At 41.4% G+C, this 18,102-nt stretch overlaps 1 protein-coding gene across 25 annotated transcripts in view; it reads right to left on the bottom strand.

The window, feature by feature from the left end:
* SLC25A26 (solute carrier family 25 member 26) overlaps window positions 1-18,102 on the bottom strand; it is a 245,318-nt gene that overhangs the window by 58,646 nt on the left and 168,570 nt on the right. For 4 of the 25 annotated variants that reach the window (NR_028475.1, XR_007095631.1, NR_174576.1 and 1 more), the window contains one exon: window positions 15,745-15,829. The exons of the other annotated variants lie outside the window; for them this stretch is intronic. The gene's annotated coding sequence lies outside the window, so the exon portion shown is untranslated. The remainder of the gene's footprint in view (window positions 1-15,744; window positions 15,830-18,102) is intronic. 25 annotated transcript variants of the gene reach the window in all.

Raw genomic sequence — 18,102 nt, 5'->3', positions numbered from 1 at the left:
GGCTGGGGTGAGGGGAGAGTGGGGAGTTATTGCTTAATGGTTACAGAGTTTGTATCTGGAGTGATGAAAACATTTTAGAAATAGTGATCATGGTTGCACAACACTGAATGTAATTAATGCTATTAGGCACTTAAAATTGTTAAAAAACGGCAAATTTTAGTTTATATATTTTTAAATAAATACCACCATAAAAAGCTCAAGTTTAATTAATTCAAAGTTTAGTCTCAATTATTTGTCTAAAAGCCCACTAAAGATTAAATTGCTTTCCAGCACTTTGGGAGGCTAAGGCAGCGGATCACCTGAGGTTGGGAGTTTGAGACCAGCCTGACCAACATGGAGAAACTCCGTCTCTACTAAAAAATTAGCCAGGCGTGGTGGTGTGTGCCTGTAATCCCAGCTACTCAGGAGGCTGAGGCAGGAGAATCGTTTGAACCTGGGAAGTAGAGGTTGCGGTGAGCGGAGATCACACCATTGCACTCCAGCCTGGGCAACAAGAGTGAAACTTCATCTCAAAAAAAAAAAAAAAAAAAAAAAAAAGATTTAATTGCTGTCACAGTACTTTGATTTCAGTTTAGCTGACCCCTTAAGTTATGAAGATGTATCATTTTTTTTGTTTTGTCTACAGTATTTACATGCTCACAAAGAAAAACAGCTAATGGAAGATTAGACAATAATTTTAACCAAATTTAATCAGATCAACTTTGAAAGGCAGAAATAGTCACAGTAAACAAGCTCACTAATAACAGATAAGGAAGGTATAAGAATGCTAGATAAGCAACTCTGTTTCAAAGGTAAATTATCTAATTTTGTTTCCCCCAGTCATAAGAAAAATAAACCTCCTAATAAAAGCGCGCGAAGTTTTTTAATGGGATAAAACAGACCAGCAGGATGCATTATATACTAGTATGGTATCTTTGCCTATAGTTATTTTCGTAGCCATAATATGAATTTCCCAACGAACATAATCTTACTTGTCTCTGGCACTCCCTCGACTTTCAATACTTTGGGTACGTTAAAAAGACAGAAAAAAAAACAATTATATAATGAGGCTCCTAATATACAGGAAATGTGTAATGAGCTATGCCATCATATACACTTCTCTACTTCAGTAACTTTGGTTCTACAAACTCTAACCTGATTTAAGTGATGCTAACTCCTGATTTCTCACCTCAAAACTAAGTTTCTCAAGGATGGCTGTGACTTTGCCTTTACTGTTTGTTCTATAGCCTTAAGCATTTAGAAAATATCAGTGTCAAGTGAAAGTTGGTAAGTATAGCGCAAGTCACAATACGGGCAATGTAACTCAAATTTGTCAATCTAAAAGTCCTTTGAGGCTGGGTGTGGTGGTTCGTGTCTGTAATCCCAGCACTTTGGGAGGCCAAGGTTGGAGGATCGCTTGAGTCCAGGAGTTAGACACCAGCCTGGGCAACAAAGAGAGATACCATCTCTATAATAAAACTTAAATAGCTGTATGTGGTGGTGCATATCTATGGTCCCAGCTATATGAAGCATGAGTAACTTGAGACCAGGATTTCGAGGCTGTAGTGAGCTATGATGAGACAGTGCACTCCAGCTTGGGTGACAGAGTCTCCGAGCCTGTCTCAAAAAAAACAAAAAAAAATTTTTTTTTTAATAAATAAAAGTCAGGTGCAGCCAAGATGGCTGAACAGAAACAGCTCTGCTCTGTGGCTTCCACTGAGAAGGACAAAAATGGTGAGTGAATTCTGCATCTTCAACTGAGGTACCAAGGTTCTCTCATTGGGACTGACGAGGCAGTTGGCATGACCCATGGAGAGCAAGGAAAGGCAGGCTGGAGCAAGGGCCCACCCGGGAGCTTCACAAGGCGGCAGGGGGAAAGGGGGCTCCCTCCCCTGGTCAAGGCAGGCAGTGAGGGATTGTGCTACCCCTCCCTGAAAGCCATGCTTTTCCCACAGATTCTTGCAATCCACAGATCAGCAGGTCCCCCTCATGAGCCCATGCATCCAGGGCCTTGGGTCCTAAGCACAGAACTGTGCAGAATCACGGCAGCTGCTCAGGAGGGTGGTGTCTCGAGCAGACACTGAGACATAGGAGTATTTGCATACTCCAGCTCTGGGAACCCCAGCGAGGCAGGACATCTGTCCACTCCCATGGGAAGGGGGCTAAAGCCAGGGAGCCAAGTGACCTCATTCCCACAGAACCCCAAGAGCTAAAATCCACTGGCTTGGAATCCCCACCAGCCAGCACATCAGACTTGAGACTGCCTAAGACAACTGAGTTCCTGAGGAAAAGGGGCAGCCGCCATCACTGCAGCTCCAGTTGGCTGTTTTCCCCTGCCACCAGTGCCAGCAAGACCGGGTGGTTTGGACCAGAAGCAACTCCCCACATCACAGTACAGCGGCTGGGTCAGTTCTTGGCCAGACTGATTCTTTAAGCAGGACCCCGATCCACTCCTCCTCACTGGGTAGTGCCTCCCTGTGGGAATTTCAGCATCCCCAGCCAGGGGTTTATGGACAGAACTCTGATATCCCTGACAGGAGCCCCTAGGAGGAGGGGCGGCTGTGGTATCATGGATAAGCAATCTTAGTCTTTTATGCCTGCTGGCTCTGGAGAGTCAGGGCAGCCTGGATGAGGGGGATTCCCCACAGCACAGCACACCCACTCTGCCAACGGGCAGCCAGACTGCTTATTTAAGTGGGTCCCTGATCCTGCTCCTCCTGACTGGGTGAGACCTCCTGACAAAAGCCTGCAGACACCTCATACAAGGGCATTCTATCCAGCATCAGGTCAGTGCCTCTCTGGGACAGAGCTCCCAGAGAAAGGAGCAGGCTGCCATCTTTGCTGGTCTGCAGCCTCCCCTGGTGATACCTCCAGGGATGGGAGGGGCCCCGGAGAATAGGGTCTAGAATGGACCCCCAGCACACTGCAGTAGTCCTACAGAAGAGGGGCCTGACTGCTAAAAGAAAAACAAACCGAAAGCAACAACAACAACATCATCAACAAAAAAGACCCACACAAACCCCATCCAAAGGTCAGCAGCCTCAAAATCAAAGGTAGATAAACCCATGAAGATGATAAAGAATCAATGCAAAAATGCTGCAAACTCAAAAAGTCAGAGGGCCTCTTCTCCTCCAAATAATCACAGCATGTCTCCAGCAAGGGCACAGAACTGGGCCGAGGCTTGAGATGGGTGAATTGACAGAAGAAGGCTTCAGAAGATGGGTAGTAATGAACTTTGCTGAGATAAAGGAGTGTGTTCTAACTCACTGCAAAGAAGTGAAGAACCATGATAAAACATTACAGGACCTGTTAACCAAAATAACCAGTTTAGAGATGAACATAAATGACCTGATGGAGTTGAAAAACACAACATGAGACCTTCACAATGCCAACACAAGTATCAATAGCTGAATAGACCAAGTGGAAGAGAAGATATCAGAACTTGAATACCATCTTGCTGAAATAGGCAGACAAGATTAGAAAAAAAGGAATGAACAAAACCTCCAAGAACTATGGGATTATGTTAAAAAACCAAACCTACAGCTGATGGGGTACCTGAAAGAGACAAGGAGAATGGAACCAAGTTGGAAAACACACTTCAGGGTATCATCCAGGAGAACTTCCTCAACCTAGCAAGATAAGCCAACATTCAAATTCAGGAACTCCAGAGAACCCCAGGAAGATAACTCCATGAGAATATCAACCCCAAGACATATAATCATCAGATCCTCCAAGGTTGAAATGAAGAAAAAAAAATGTTAAGGGCAGCCAGAGAGAAAGGCCGCTCATCTCTACAGGGAGGCCCATTAGACTAAGAGCAGACCTCTCAGCAGAAACCCTACAAGCCAGAAGACATTAGGGGCTGATATTCAACATGCTTAAACAAAAGAATTTCCAACCTAGAATTTCGTATCTGGCCAAAGTAAGCCTCATAAGCAAAGGAGAAATAAAATCTTTTTCAGACAAGCAAATGCTGAGGGAATTCATCAGCACCAAGCCTGCCTTGCAAGAGTTCCTGAAGGAAGCACTAAATATGGAAAGGAAAAACCATTACCAACCACTAGGAAACCACATGGAAGTACACAGGCCAGTGACATGATGAAGCAACTACATAAACAAGTCTGCAAAATAATCAGCCAGCATCATGATGAAACAATCAAATTCACACAATAACAATAGTAACCTTAAATGTAAATGGGCAAATGCCCCCAATTAAAAGGCACAGAATGGCAAACTGGAGTAAAGAGTCAAGATCCATTGCTGTGCTGTATTCAAGAGACCCATCTCACATGCAAAGACACACATAGGCTCAAAAGAAAAGGATGGAGGAAAATTTACCAAGCAAATGGAAAACAGAAAAAAGCACGTGTTACAATCCTAGTCTCTGACAAAACAGACTTTAAACCAACAAACATTAAAAAAGACAAAAAAGGGCATTACATGATGGTAAAGGGCTCAAATCAAGAAGAAGAGCTAACTATCCTAAATATATATGGACCCAATACAGGAGCACCTAGATTCATAAAACAAGTTCTTAGATACCTACAAAGAGATTTACACTCCCACACAAGTATAGTGGGAGACTTTAATACCCTACTATCAAGGATAGACCATTGAGACAGAAAATTAACAAAGATATTCAGGACCTGAACTCAGCTCTGGATCAAGTGGACCTGACAGATACCTACAGAACTCTCTCCCCAAAAACAACAGAATATGCATTCTTCTCGGTGCCACATGGCACTCTAAAACTGATCGCACAATTGGAAGAAAATCACTTGTGAGCAAATGCAAAATAACTGAAATCATAACAAACAGTCTCTTAGACCACAATGCAATCAAATCAGAACTTAAGATGAAGAAACCCACTCAACACCACAAAGGTATATGGAAATTGAACAACCTGCTTCTGAGACTACTGGCTAAATGATGAAATTAAGGCAGAAATCAAGAAGTTATTTGAAATCAGTAAGAACAAAGAAACAACGTATCAGAATCTCTGGGACACAGATTTGCAGCATTATGAGGGAAATTTATAGCAATAAATGCCTACATCAAAAAGTTAGAAAGATCTCAAACTGACAGCCTAACATCACAACTAAAAGAACTAGAGAACTGAGAGTAAACAAACCCCAAAGCTAGCAGAAGACAAGAAATAACCAAGATCAGAGCAGAACTGAAGGAGATAAACATGAAAAACCCTTCAAAAAAAAAAAAAAAAATCAAAGAATCCAGGAGCTAGTTTTTAAAAAATATTAATAAAAATAGACTACTAACTAGACTAATAAAGAAGAAAAGAATCAAATAGACACAATAAAAAGTGATAAAGGGGATATCACTGGCGACCCCACAGAAATACAAACAATGATCAGAGAATACTATAAACACCTCAATGCAAACAAACTCGAAAATCTGTAAGAAATGGATATATTCCTGGACACATAAACCCTCCCAAGAATGAACCAAAAGGAATTGGAATCTCTGACTAGACCAATAACCTGTTCTGAAATTGAGGCAGTAATAAATAACTAAAAAAAAAAACAAAAAAAAGCCCAGAACCAGACGGTTTTACAGCTGAATTCTACCAGAAATATAAACAGGAGCTGATACTCTTTCTTCTAAAAGTATTCCAAACAACTGAAAAGGAAGTGCTCCTCCCTAATTCATTCTATGACGCCAGCATCATCCTGATACCAAAACCTGGCAGACATACAACAACAAAAAACAAAACTTCAGTCCAATATCCCTGATGAACATCAATGTAAAAATTCTCAATAAAATACAGGCACGCCGAATACAGCAGCACATCAAAAACCTTATCCACCGTGATCAAGTCGGCTTCATCCCCAGGATGCACGGCTGGTTCAACATACGCAAATCAATAAACATAATTCATCACATAAACAGATCCAAAAACAAAAACCACATGATTATCTCAATAGACACAGAAAAGGCCTTCAGTAAAACTCAACATCCTTTCATGTTATGTCTCAATAAACTAGGTATTGATGGATCATACCTCAAAATAATAAGAGCTATACAGGACAAACCCACAGCCCGTATCATACTGAATGGGCAAAAGGTGGAAGCATTCCCTTTGAAAACCAGCACAAGAGAAGGATGCCCTCGCTCACCACTCCTATTCAACATAGTATTGGAAGTTCTGGCCAGGACAATCAGGCAAGAGAAAGAAATAAAGGATTCAAACAAGAAGAGAGGAAGTCAAATTGTCTCTGTTTGCAGATGACATGATACTCCTTCTAGAAAACCCCATTGTCTCAGCCCACAAGCTTCTTAAGCTTTTAAGCAATTTCAGCAACGTCTCAGGATACAAAATCAACATGCAAAAGTCACAAGCATTCCTATACACGAACTACAGGCAAGCAGAGAGCCAAATCATGAATGAACTCCCATTCACAATTGCTACAAAGAGAAAAAAATAACTAAGAATACAGCTAGCAAGGGACGTGAAGGATCTCTTCAAGATGAACTACAAACCACTGCACAAGGAAATCAGAGAGGACACAAACAAATGGATAAACATTCCACGCTCATGGATAGGAAGAATCAGTATTACAAAAATGGCCACACCACCCTAAGTAATTTATAGATTCAATGCTATTTCCATTAAACTACCATTAACATTCTTCACAGAATCAGAAGAAACTATTTTAAAATTCATATGGAATAAAAAAAGAGCTCATACAGCCAAGACAATCCTAAGCAAAAAGAACAAAGCTGGAGGCAACATGCTACTGGACTTCAAAATATACCGCAAGGCTACAATAACCCAAACAGCATGGTACTGCTACAAAAACAGACACATAGACCAATGGAATAGAATAAAGAACTCAGAAATAAGATGGCACATCTACAACCATCTGATCTTTGAGAAACCTGACAAAAACAAGCAATGGGGAAAGGATTCCCTATTTAATAAACGGTGCTGGGAGAACTGGCAAGCCATATCAAGAAAACTGAAACTAGACCCCTTCCTTATATAAAAATTAACTCAAGATGGATCAAAGACTTAACTGTAAAACCCAGAACCATAAAAACTCTAGAAGAAAATCTAGGCAATACCATTGAGGACACAGGCACAGGCAAAAGTTTCATCACAAAATCGCCAAAAGCAATAGTAACAAAAGCAAAAATTGATAAATGGGATCTAATTAAACTAAAGAGCTTCTGCACAGCAAAAGAAACTATCATCAGAGCAAACAGGCAACCTACAGAGTGGAAGAAAATTTTTGCTATCCATCCATCTGACAAAGGTCTAGTATCCAGAGTCTACAAGGACCTTATATTTACATGAAAAACAAACAAACAAACAAACAGGGGGATCTGGCAAGATGGCTGAATAGGAACAGCTCCGATATGTAGCTCCCAGCAAGGCCATAACAGAAGGTGGGTGATTTCTGCATTTCCAACTGAGGTACCCGGTTCATCTCAATGGGACTGGTTAGACAGTGGGTGCAGCCCACAGTGGGCAAGCAGATGCAGGGTGGGGTGTTGCCTCACCCGAGAAGCACTAGGGGCCAGGGAACTACCTCCCCTAAACAAGGGAAGCCTTGAGGGACTGTGTCATGAGGAATGGTGCATTCCAGCCCAAATACTATGCTTTTCCCACAGTCTTCGCAACCCACAGACGAGGAGATTCCCTCTAGTGCCTACGCCACCAGGGTCTTGGGTTTCAAGCACAAAACTGGGTGGCTGTTTGGGCAGAGCTAGGTGCAGGAGTTTTTTTTTTTCTGTTGTTTCTTTTTTTTCTTCGTACCCAGTGACACCTGGAACCCCAGTGAGACAGAACTGTTTACTCCCATGGAAAGGGGGCTGAAGCCAGGAAGCCAAGTGATCTTGCCCAGTAGGCTCCACCCCCACAGAGCCCAGCAAGCTAAGATCCACTGGCTTGAAATTCTTGCTGCCAGCAAAGCATTCTGAAGTCGACCTGGGGTGATTGGGTTTGGTTAGGGGAAGGGCATCCACCATTACTGAAGCTTGAGTAGGTGGTTTTCCCCTCACAGTGTAAACAAAGCTGCGGCGAAGTTCGGGCTGGGCAGAACCCACTGCAAAGCCACAGTAGCCAGACTGCCTCTCTAGACTGCCTCACTGGGCAGGGCATCTCTGACAGAAAGGCAGCAGCCCCAGTCAGGTGCTTATAGATAAAACTCCCATCTCCATAAGACAGGGCACCTGGGGGAACAGGCAGCTGTGGGCACAGCTTCAGCAGACTTAACTGTTCCTGTCTGCCAGCTCTGAAGAGAGGAGTGGATCTCGCAGCACAGCACTTGAGCTCTGCTAAGGGACACACTGCCTCCTCAAGTGGGTCCCTGACCCCCATGCTTCCTGATGGGGAGACACCTCCCAGGAGGGTTCAACAGACACCTCATAAAAAAGAGCTCCAGCTGGCATCTGGTATGTGCCCCTCTGGGACAAAGCTTTCAGAGGAAGGAGCAGGCAGCAAGCTTTGCTGTTCTGCAGCCTCTGGTGGTGATACCCAGGCACACAGGGTCTGAAATGAACGTCCAGCAAACTCCAGCAGACCTGCAGCAGAGGGGCCTGACTGTTAGAAGGAAAACTAACAAACATAAAGCAATAACATCAACAAAAACAAAAAGGACACCCACGCAAAAACCCTATCCAAAAGTCATCCGCGTCAAAGATCAAAGGCAGACAAATCCATGAAGATGAGGAAAAACCACCAAAAAAAGGCTGAAAACTCCAAAAACCAGAATACCTCTTCTCCAAACGATCACAACTCCTCACCAGCAAGGGAACAAAACTGGGCAGAAAATGAGTATGAAAAACTGACAGAAGTACACTTCAGAAGGTGGGTAATAACAAACTCCTCGGAGCTAAAGGAGCATGTTCTAACCCAATGAAAGCAAGCTAAGAACCTTGATAAAAGGTTACAGGAACAGCTAACTAGAATAACCAGTTTAGACACGAACATAAATGACCTGATGGAGCTGGAAAACACAGCACGAGAATTTCGTGAAGCATACACAAGTATCAATAGCCGAATCGATCAAGCAGAAGAAAGGCTATCAGAGACTGAAGATCAACTTAATGAAATAAAGTGTGACGACAAGATGAGAAAAAATAATGAAAAGGAACGAACAAAGCCTCCAAGAAATATCGGACTATGTGAAAAGACCAAACCTACGATTGATTGGTGTACCCGAAAGTGACAGGGAGAATGGAACCACGTTGGAAAACACACTTGAGGATATTACCCAGGAGAACTTCTCCAACCTAGCAAGAAAGGCCAACATTCAAATTCAGGAAATACAGAGAGCACCACTAAGATACTCCTCGAGAAGATCAACCCAAGACACATAATCATCAGATTCACCAAGGTTGAAAGGAAGGAAAAAATGTTAAGGGCAGCCGGAGAGAAAGGTCAGGCTACCTACAAGGTGAAGCCCATCAGACTAACAGCAGATCTCTCTGTAGAAACGCTACAAGCCAAAAGAGAGTAAAGGCCAATATTCAACATTCTTAAAGAAAAGAACTTTCAACCCAGAATTTCATATCCAGCCAAACTAAGCTTCATAAGCAAAGAAGAAATAAAATCCTTTACAGACAAGCAAATGCTAAGAGATTTTGTCACCACCGGGCCTGCCTTACAAGAGCTCCTGAAGGAAGTGCTAAATATGGAAAGGAAAATCCCATACCAGCTACTGCAAAAACAACAAATTGTAAAGACCACTGACACCACAAAGAAACTGCATCAACTAATGTGCAAAATAAACAGCTAGCATCATGACAGATCGAATTCACACATAACAATATTAACCTTAAATGTAAATGGGCTAGATGCCCCAGTTAAAAGAAACAGACTGGCAAATTGGATAGAGTTAAGACCCACTGGCGTGCTGTATTCAGGAGACCCATATCACATGCAAAGACACAAATAGGCTCAAAATAAAGGGATGGAGGAATATTTACCAAGCCAATGGAAAGCAAAAAAAAGCAGGGGTTGCAATCCTTGTCTCTGACAAAACAGACTTTAAACCAACAAACATCAAAAAAGACAAAGAAAGGCATTACATAACGGCAAAGGGGTCAATTCAACAAGAAAAGCTAACTATCCTAAATATATATGCACCCAATACAGGAGCACTCAGATTCATAAAGCAAGTTCTTAGAGACCTACAAAGAAACTTAGACTTCCACACAATAATAGTGGGAGACTTTAACACCTCACTGTCAATATTAGCTAGATCAGCGAGACAGAAAATTAACAAGGATATTCAGGACTTGGACTCAGCTCCGGACCGAGGGGACCTGACTGACATCTACAGAACTCTCCACCCCAAATCAACAGAATATACATTCTTCTCAGCACCACACAGCACTGATTCTAAAATCGACCACATAAATGGAAGTAAAACATTCCTCAGCAAATGCAAAATAATGGAAATCATAACAAACAGTCTCTCAGACCACAGTGCAATCAAATTAGAACTCAGGATTAAGAAATTCACTCAAAACCACGCAACTACACGGAAACAACCTGCTCCTGAATGACTATTAGATAAATAACGAAATTAAGGCAGAAACAAATAAGCTCTTCGAAACCAATGAGAACAAAGACACAACATACCAGAATCTCTGGGACACATTTAAAGCAGTGTTTAGAGGGAAATTTACAGCACTAATGCACACAGGCGAAAGTGGGAAAGATCTAAAACCGACACCCTAACATCACAATTAAAAGAACTAGAGAAGTAAGAGCAAACAAATTCGAAAGCTAGCAGAAGACAAGAAATAATTAAGATCAGAGCAGAATTGAAGGATATAGAGACATGAAAAACACTTTAAAAAAAAAATCAATGAATCCAGGAGCTGGTTTTTTGAAAAGATTAACAAAATAGACCACTAGCCAGACCAATGAAGAGAGAAGAATCAAATAGACACAATAAAAAATGATAAAGTGGATATCACCACTAATCCCATAAAAATACAAACTACCATCAGAGAATACTATAAACACCTCTATGCAAATAAACTAGAAAATCTAGAAGGAATGGATAAATTCCTGGACACATACACCCTCCCAAGACTAAACCAGGAAGAAGTCGAATCCCTGAATAGTCCAATAACAAGTTCTGAAATTGATGCAGTAATTAATAGCCTACCAACCAAAAAGAGCCCAGATGGCTCACAGCCGAATTCTACCAGAGGTACCATTCCTTCTGAAACTATTCCAAACAACAGAAAAAGAAGGACTCCTCCCTAACTCACTTTATGAGGCCAGCTTCTTCCTGAAACCAAAACCTGACAGAGACACAACAAAAAAAGAAAATTTCAGGCCAAGATCCCTGATAAACATGGACGCGAAAATCCTCAATAAAATTCTGGCAAACCGAATCCAGCAGCACATCAAAAAGCTTATCCACCATGATCAAGCAGGCTTCATCCCTGGGATGCAAGGTTGGTTCAACATATACAAATCAATAAACATAATCCATCACATAAACAGAACCAATGACAAAAATCACATGATTATCTCAACAGATGCAGAAAAGGCTTTCAATAAAATTCACCTTCATGCTAACCACCCCTTCATGCTAAAAACACCCAATAAACCAGGAACAGTTACGGAATATATGGAATAGTTATGGAATAGTTATGAATAGTTATGGAATAGTTATGACAAACTCATAGCCAGTGTCATACTCAATGGGGAAAAGCTAGAAGCATTAACTTTGAAAACCGGCACAGCAGAAGGCTGCCCTCTCTCACCACTCCTATTCAACATAGTACTGGAAGTTATGGCCAGGGCAATCAGGCAAGAGAAAGAAATAAAGGGTATTCAAATAGGAAGAGAGGAAGTCAAATTCTCTCCGTTTGCAGTTAACAAGATTGTATATTTTGAAAACTCCATCATCGCAGCCCCAAATCTCCTTAAGCCGATAAGCAACTTCAGCAAAGTCTCAGGATACAAAATCAATGCGCAAAAATCACAAGCATTCCTACATACCATTAACAGACAATCAGAGAGCCAAATCATGAGTGAACGCCCATTCACAACTGCTACAAAGAGAATAAAATACCTAGGAATACAACTTACAAGAGATGTGAAGGACCTCTTAAAGGAGAACTACAAATTACTGCTCAAGAAAATAAGAGAGGACCCAAACAAATGGAAAAACACTCCATGCTCATGGATAGGAAGAATCAATATCATGAAAATGCCCATACTGCCCAAAGTAATTTATAGATTCAATGCTACCCCCATCAAGCTACCATTGACTTTCTTCACAGAATTAGAAAAAAACTACTTTAAATTTCATATGGAACCAAAGAAGACCCGTATAGCCAAGACAATCCTAAGCAAAAAGAACAAAGCTGGAGGCATCATGCTACCTGACTTCAAACTATACTACAAGGCTACAGCAACCCTAAACAGCAGGGTACTGGTACCAGAACAGATACATAAACCAATGGAACAGAACAGAGGCCTCAGAAATAACACCACACATCTACAACCATCTGCTCTTTGACAAACCTGACAAAAACAAGCAGTGGGGAAAGGATTCCCTATTTAATAAATGGTGTTGGGAAAACTGGCTAGCCATATGCAGAAAACTCAAACTGGACCCCTTCCTTATACCTAATACAAAAATTAACTCAAGATGTAAGACTTAAACGTAAGACCTAAAACCATAAAAACCATAGAAGAAAACCTAGGTAATACCATTCAGGACGTAGGCATGGGCAAAGACTTCATGATTAAAACACCAAAAGCAACGGCAACAACAGCCAAAATTGACAAATGGGATCTAATTAAACTAAAGAGCTTCTGCACAGCAAAAGAAACTATCATCAGAGTGAACAGGCAACCTACAGAATGGGAGAAAATTTTGCAATCTATCCATCTGACAAAGGGTTAATATCCAGAATCTACAAGGAACTTAAATAAATTTACAAGAAAAAACAAACGACCCCATCAGAAAGTGGGCAAAGGATATTAACAGACACTTCTCAAAAGAAGACATTTATGCGGCCAACAAACAAATGAAAAAAAGCTCATCATCACTGCTCATTAGAGAAACGCAAATCAAAACCACAATGAGATACCATCTCACTCCAGTTACAATGACGATCATTAAAGAGTCAGGAAACAACAGATGCTGGAGAGGATGTGGAGAAACAGACACCTTCACACTGTTGGTGGGAGTGTAAATTAGTTTAACCATTATGGAAGACAGTGCAGCAATTCCTCAAGGAACTAGAACCAGAAATAGCATTTGACCCACCAATCCCATTACTGGGTATATACCCAAAGGATTACAAATCATTCTACTATAAAGGCACACACACACATATGTTTACTGCAGCACTATTTACAATACCAAAGACTTGGAACCAACCCAAATGCCCATCAATGATAGACTGGATAAAGAAAATGTGGCACATACACACCATGGAATACTATGCAACCATAAAAAAGTATGAGTTCATGTCCTTTGCAGGGACATGGATGAAGCTAAAAACCATCATTCCCAGCAAACTAACACAGGAACAGAAAACCAAACACCATATGTTCTTGCTCATAAGTGGGAGGTGAACAATGAGAACACATGGACCCAGGGAGGGGAACATCTCACACTGGGGCCTGTTGGGGGCTGGGGGCAAGGGGATGGATAGCATTAGGAGAAATACCTAACGCATGTGGGGCTTAAAATCTAGATGACAGGTTGATGGGTGCAGCAAACCACCATGGCACATGTATACCTATGTAACAAACCTGCACGTTGTGCACATGTATCCCCAGAACTTAAAGTATTAAAAAAGAAAAGAAAAAAGAGAGAGACAAGAAAAAGAAAAACAACCCTATTAAAAAGTGGGCAAAGGACATGAAAAGACACTTCTCAAAAGAAGACATTCATGCAGCCAACAAACATAAGAAAAAAAAGCTCAACATCACTGATTAGAGAAATGAAAATCAAAACCACAATGAGATACCGTCTCACGCCATTCACAATGGCAATTATTACAAAGTTAAGAAACAGACCAGGCGCAGTGGCTTACGCCTGTAATCCTAGCACTTTGGGAGGCCAAGGTGGGTGAATCACGAGGTCAGGAGTTTGAAACCAGCCTGGCCAGCATGGTGAAACCTTGTTTCTACTAAACAAAAAATTAGCTGGGCATGGTGGTGCACACCTGTAGTCCCAGCTACTCGGGAGGCTGACGCAGGAGAACTGCTTGAAATTGGCAGGCAGAGGTTAAAGTGAGTCATGTTAGTGCCACTGCACTCCAGCCTAGGCAACAGAGCGAGACTCCATCTCAAAAAAAAGAAAAGAAAAAGAAAAAAAGAAAGAAACAATAGATGCTGGCGAGGTTGAGGAAAGACAGGAATGCTTTTACGCTATTGGTGAAAATGTAAATTAGTTCAACCATTGTGGAAGATGGGGTGGCAATTCCTCAAAGAGCAAGAACCAGAAATACCATTTGACCCAGCAATCCCATTACAGGGTATATGCTCAAAGGAATATAAATCATTATATTACAAAGACACACGCACATGTATGTTCACTGCAGCACTATTCACAATAGCAAAGACAAGGAATCAACCCAAACCAAATACCACATGCTCTCACTTGTAAGTGAACAATGAGAACACATGGACACAGGGAGGGAAACAACACACTCTGGGGCCTTTCACAGGGTGGGGTGGGGGGAAGGGGAGCATTAGGAAAGATGGCTAATGCATGCTGGGCTTAATACCAAGGTGATGGGTTGACAGGTGCAGCAAACCACCATAGCACATATTTACCTATGTAACAAAGCTGCATATCCTACATATGTATCCTGGAGCTTAAAAATTAAAATGAAATAAATAAATAAAAGTCCTTCAATCCCTAATATAAAAAATTTGATATCTGTTAACATCACCTTTTAAAATCCTAACCAGGAATTCCATTTTTTATAACACTGATTAAATTACATAATGTTACTCTTAGAGAAACACCTTAGAAGAAAAATAGCAGACCCATTTGAGATAAAAGACATGTTCTCCTGTTGTCTTTAAATTATAGCAATGTACTTAGTAACAGAAAAGAAATCCATTTCCTAAATTTAGACGCTGCTTCTCCCAACTTCTCACAACCATGAGAACACCAAAGAAAGGCATGAGAAACTAACAAACTATAATGAGCGTGTACATTATTATTTGAGGGGAATGGGATGGAGATCATTTAGAAATGCTTTTGGCTTTTCGCAGCTCTAAGTGTAAAAATTCAGTTCCTAGAAAACTGTCAGTTGCTAATAAAGAATCTCAGAACTCTAACAAGTGATACTACCGTGTCATAAAAAATAAATCACAAGATACACTTTTTGGTGACAAAATCTTTTGAGTTTCTTAACATTATGGGGTAAAATGGTTGTGAGTTTATCAGGTCTTTTTGGCCCTATAAATCATAGTACATGTTATAAGTCATCCTCTTAATACTAATGTATCAATTTTTATCACAATTCATTTGGTAAACAGGATAATTCTGCAAAGTATTGAAAATTGCAAAGTTCTGAGCCAGCAACAAATTAGATTTCCACCCACATGGTGGTTAATCAGTCCCATGTACAGAGAGAAAGGAAACTGGATATAATGATTCTAAAAGCATTTTAAAGAATGTATTAGTGAACAACGAATCCTCAATGCCTGACACCTCGATGGTTTCCTGAAAGCACCAGTGAACCATGTAGCGTATATCCCAGTTAGCATGTTCAGCAATCAGGGGTTGTTACAGAGCTTACCAGTATAACAGCATGTATACAAGCCACACACAACAACTCACAGAAGCTCACAAGCCTCCCCACACCTTTGACTCTAATCCTCCTCCTGCAAAAATAGAAGAAAAAATATGACAACAGACATGTGAACACAAAACTGAAACTGAACAGAAAAGGGAAGATATTAGCTTAGATATGAGACATAAGAAAAAGTATGCTCCAGAATCTTTTTAAATCAAGAGGCATTGTGGGAGGCCCCCAAGATTCCCACTCCCTGATGTACCCGCCCTGTATAATCCTCCCCCATCCAGTGTGGATGGGACCGTGAACAGGACAAAGACAAGTCCTGTGACGAAGTTACATTTAATCAGAAATATGAATGGATTCTGCAGATTTAATTAAGTTCCCCCATCAGTTGGTTCTGAGTTTATCAAGAGGGAAATTATCGTGGATGGGCTTGACTTCAAAGGTGAGTTCTTAGAAAAACCAGCCCCTTCCTAACAAGATCTGAAGTGTGAGAGATTCTCCTGCTGGCTCTGAAGAAATAAAATTTCATGTTGTAAAAGGGCCTATGGAGGGGGCCACATGGCAAGGACCTCAGAGCAGCCTCTGGAAGTAAAGTGTGGTCACCATCCAATCGCTAACAAGAAACAGGATCCTCAGTCATACTGCCACAAGGAAATGCCATCTGCCAACCGCCCTGTGCATTTGGAAGAGGACCCTAGCCTCAGATGAGATCACAGTCCCTGCAACACCTTGACTGTCACTGTGTGAAACAGTGAATGGAGAACTCAGCCACGCGGTCCTCAGACTGCTGCTGTAGAGACCCATGAGATCATCAATATATGTCACCTTAAACCACTAAAGTTGTGGTAATTCATTACACAGCAACAGAAAGCTAACAATCATCTACTGCACCTCTAGACATTCCCCTAAGTGATCCTGATGTTACATGACACTTGAAGTTACTCATTTCAATGGAGTGAAAAATGTGGGACATTCTAGTTAAGTGATCTTGACTGGCAGTTAAAGTTTCAGAAGTCCTACAATATTTTCTGACTTACAGCCTAATCTTACCTGGAAGGCATCTTGCTGATTATCTGATCCAGCCACCTCACTTTTAGCCAAGACTAAGAGAGGGAGCTAGCCTCCCCAGGTTCACAGGGCTAACGAGCAGCAGAGGACGAGCCACAGCCCAGTTCCTCCAACACAGTTAGCTGTTCCCAGAAGTCTTTCCTTAAAGGTGGCTGCGCCTTAAAGATACTTGCAGTTGTGCTTGACTAGAGAGGGGGAGAGAAGTATATCTCCTCTCTGATACTGTAGTAAAATGGCCATAAAATAAATACTGAATGCTTTAGAAAAGTGGAGTACAAAGCCAATATTTCAAAGGATTCAAAGACTAAAAGCAGTATTAAAGATGTCAACAGTGACTAGACCATGATAACTACTATATTATAATGTCTTCTGCATCTTTCAACCTCCCAGGGGACATTTAAATTGTCACTACTCACGGGAGGTGCTCCTGGTATCTAGTGGGTAGAGGCCAGGGATGCTGCTACACAGCCTGGAATGCAAAGGGGGGTCCCCATGGACACAATCCACAGCCCCTTAAACTCTGCTCTAAGGCATCAGTTATCTTTCTTTATCCCTGCTGACTCCCTAGCACTGAGACACTGAACACATGGCGTGCACCACCTGTGCTCCCTTACACACTCAGAAGGCAAAGCTCTCCCATATCTCAATTTTCTTTGGCTTGGGCTTTAATCACTGTTCTTTGGTTTGAACTTAAATATGGGCTAACCTTTTCACCAAGTTGTATCTAGCTCTAATACACAAGCACACCTGCCCAGCTCAATGTTGCTTCTGACAGACAAAGCCAAAACACTATTATGCATACTTGATTTTAACTAATGTATGTTTTACACATGAATCAAAATCTGGTGACCTATCAGCAAAGGCCTAGTGGAGTATGAGTGTGCAGAACACATGGTGGAGAACCGCTGCTTACTCTAAACTGCTGGCAGCAAATAAGTATTACATGACCCAAAAAAATGATATCGATGACTAGAATGAGAAAAGTGTCAAAACAACAGGAAGTGGCAGGGACTCTGATGACATGGAGAGCAGTTTCTGTCAAAACAAGCAGCCGCTACTCTGTTCTAGACAATTACTGCCATGCAGAAATGTAGGCCCACTATGACCAGATACCCAGATTGTCCAAGAAAACTTGGATAACTGGAGTTGTATATGAAACCACTCAATTTTAACATGTTAGCTTGTAGTTTGCAAAAACCTTGAGTCCAACATTTTGGGCCACGTCTTTGAAATTTATGGTCTAGAGATTGTAAGAGCAAATGAAGAGGTGCCAAGTGGGCAAATTCA

The sequence above is a fragment of the Homo sapiens genome, chromosome 3 (assembly GCF_000001405.40).
Source record: "Homo sapiens chromosome 3, GRCh38.p14 Primary Assembly".
In the NCBI taxonomy this organism is placed as follows: domain Eukaryota; kingdom Metazoa; phylum Chordata; class Mammalia; order Primates; family Hominidae; genus Homo; species Homo sapiens.
The sequence above is the reverse complement of the archived record's forward strand: the minus strand, read 5'-3'. Positions and strand labels throughout refer to the sequence as shown.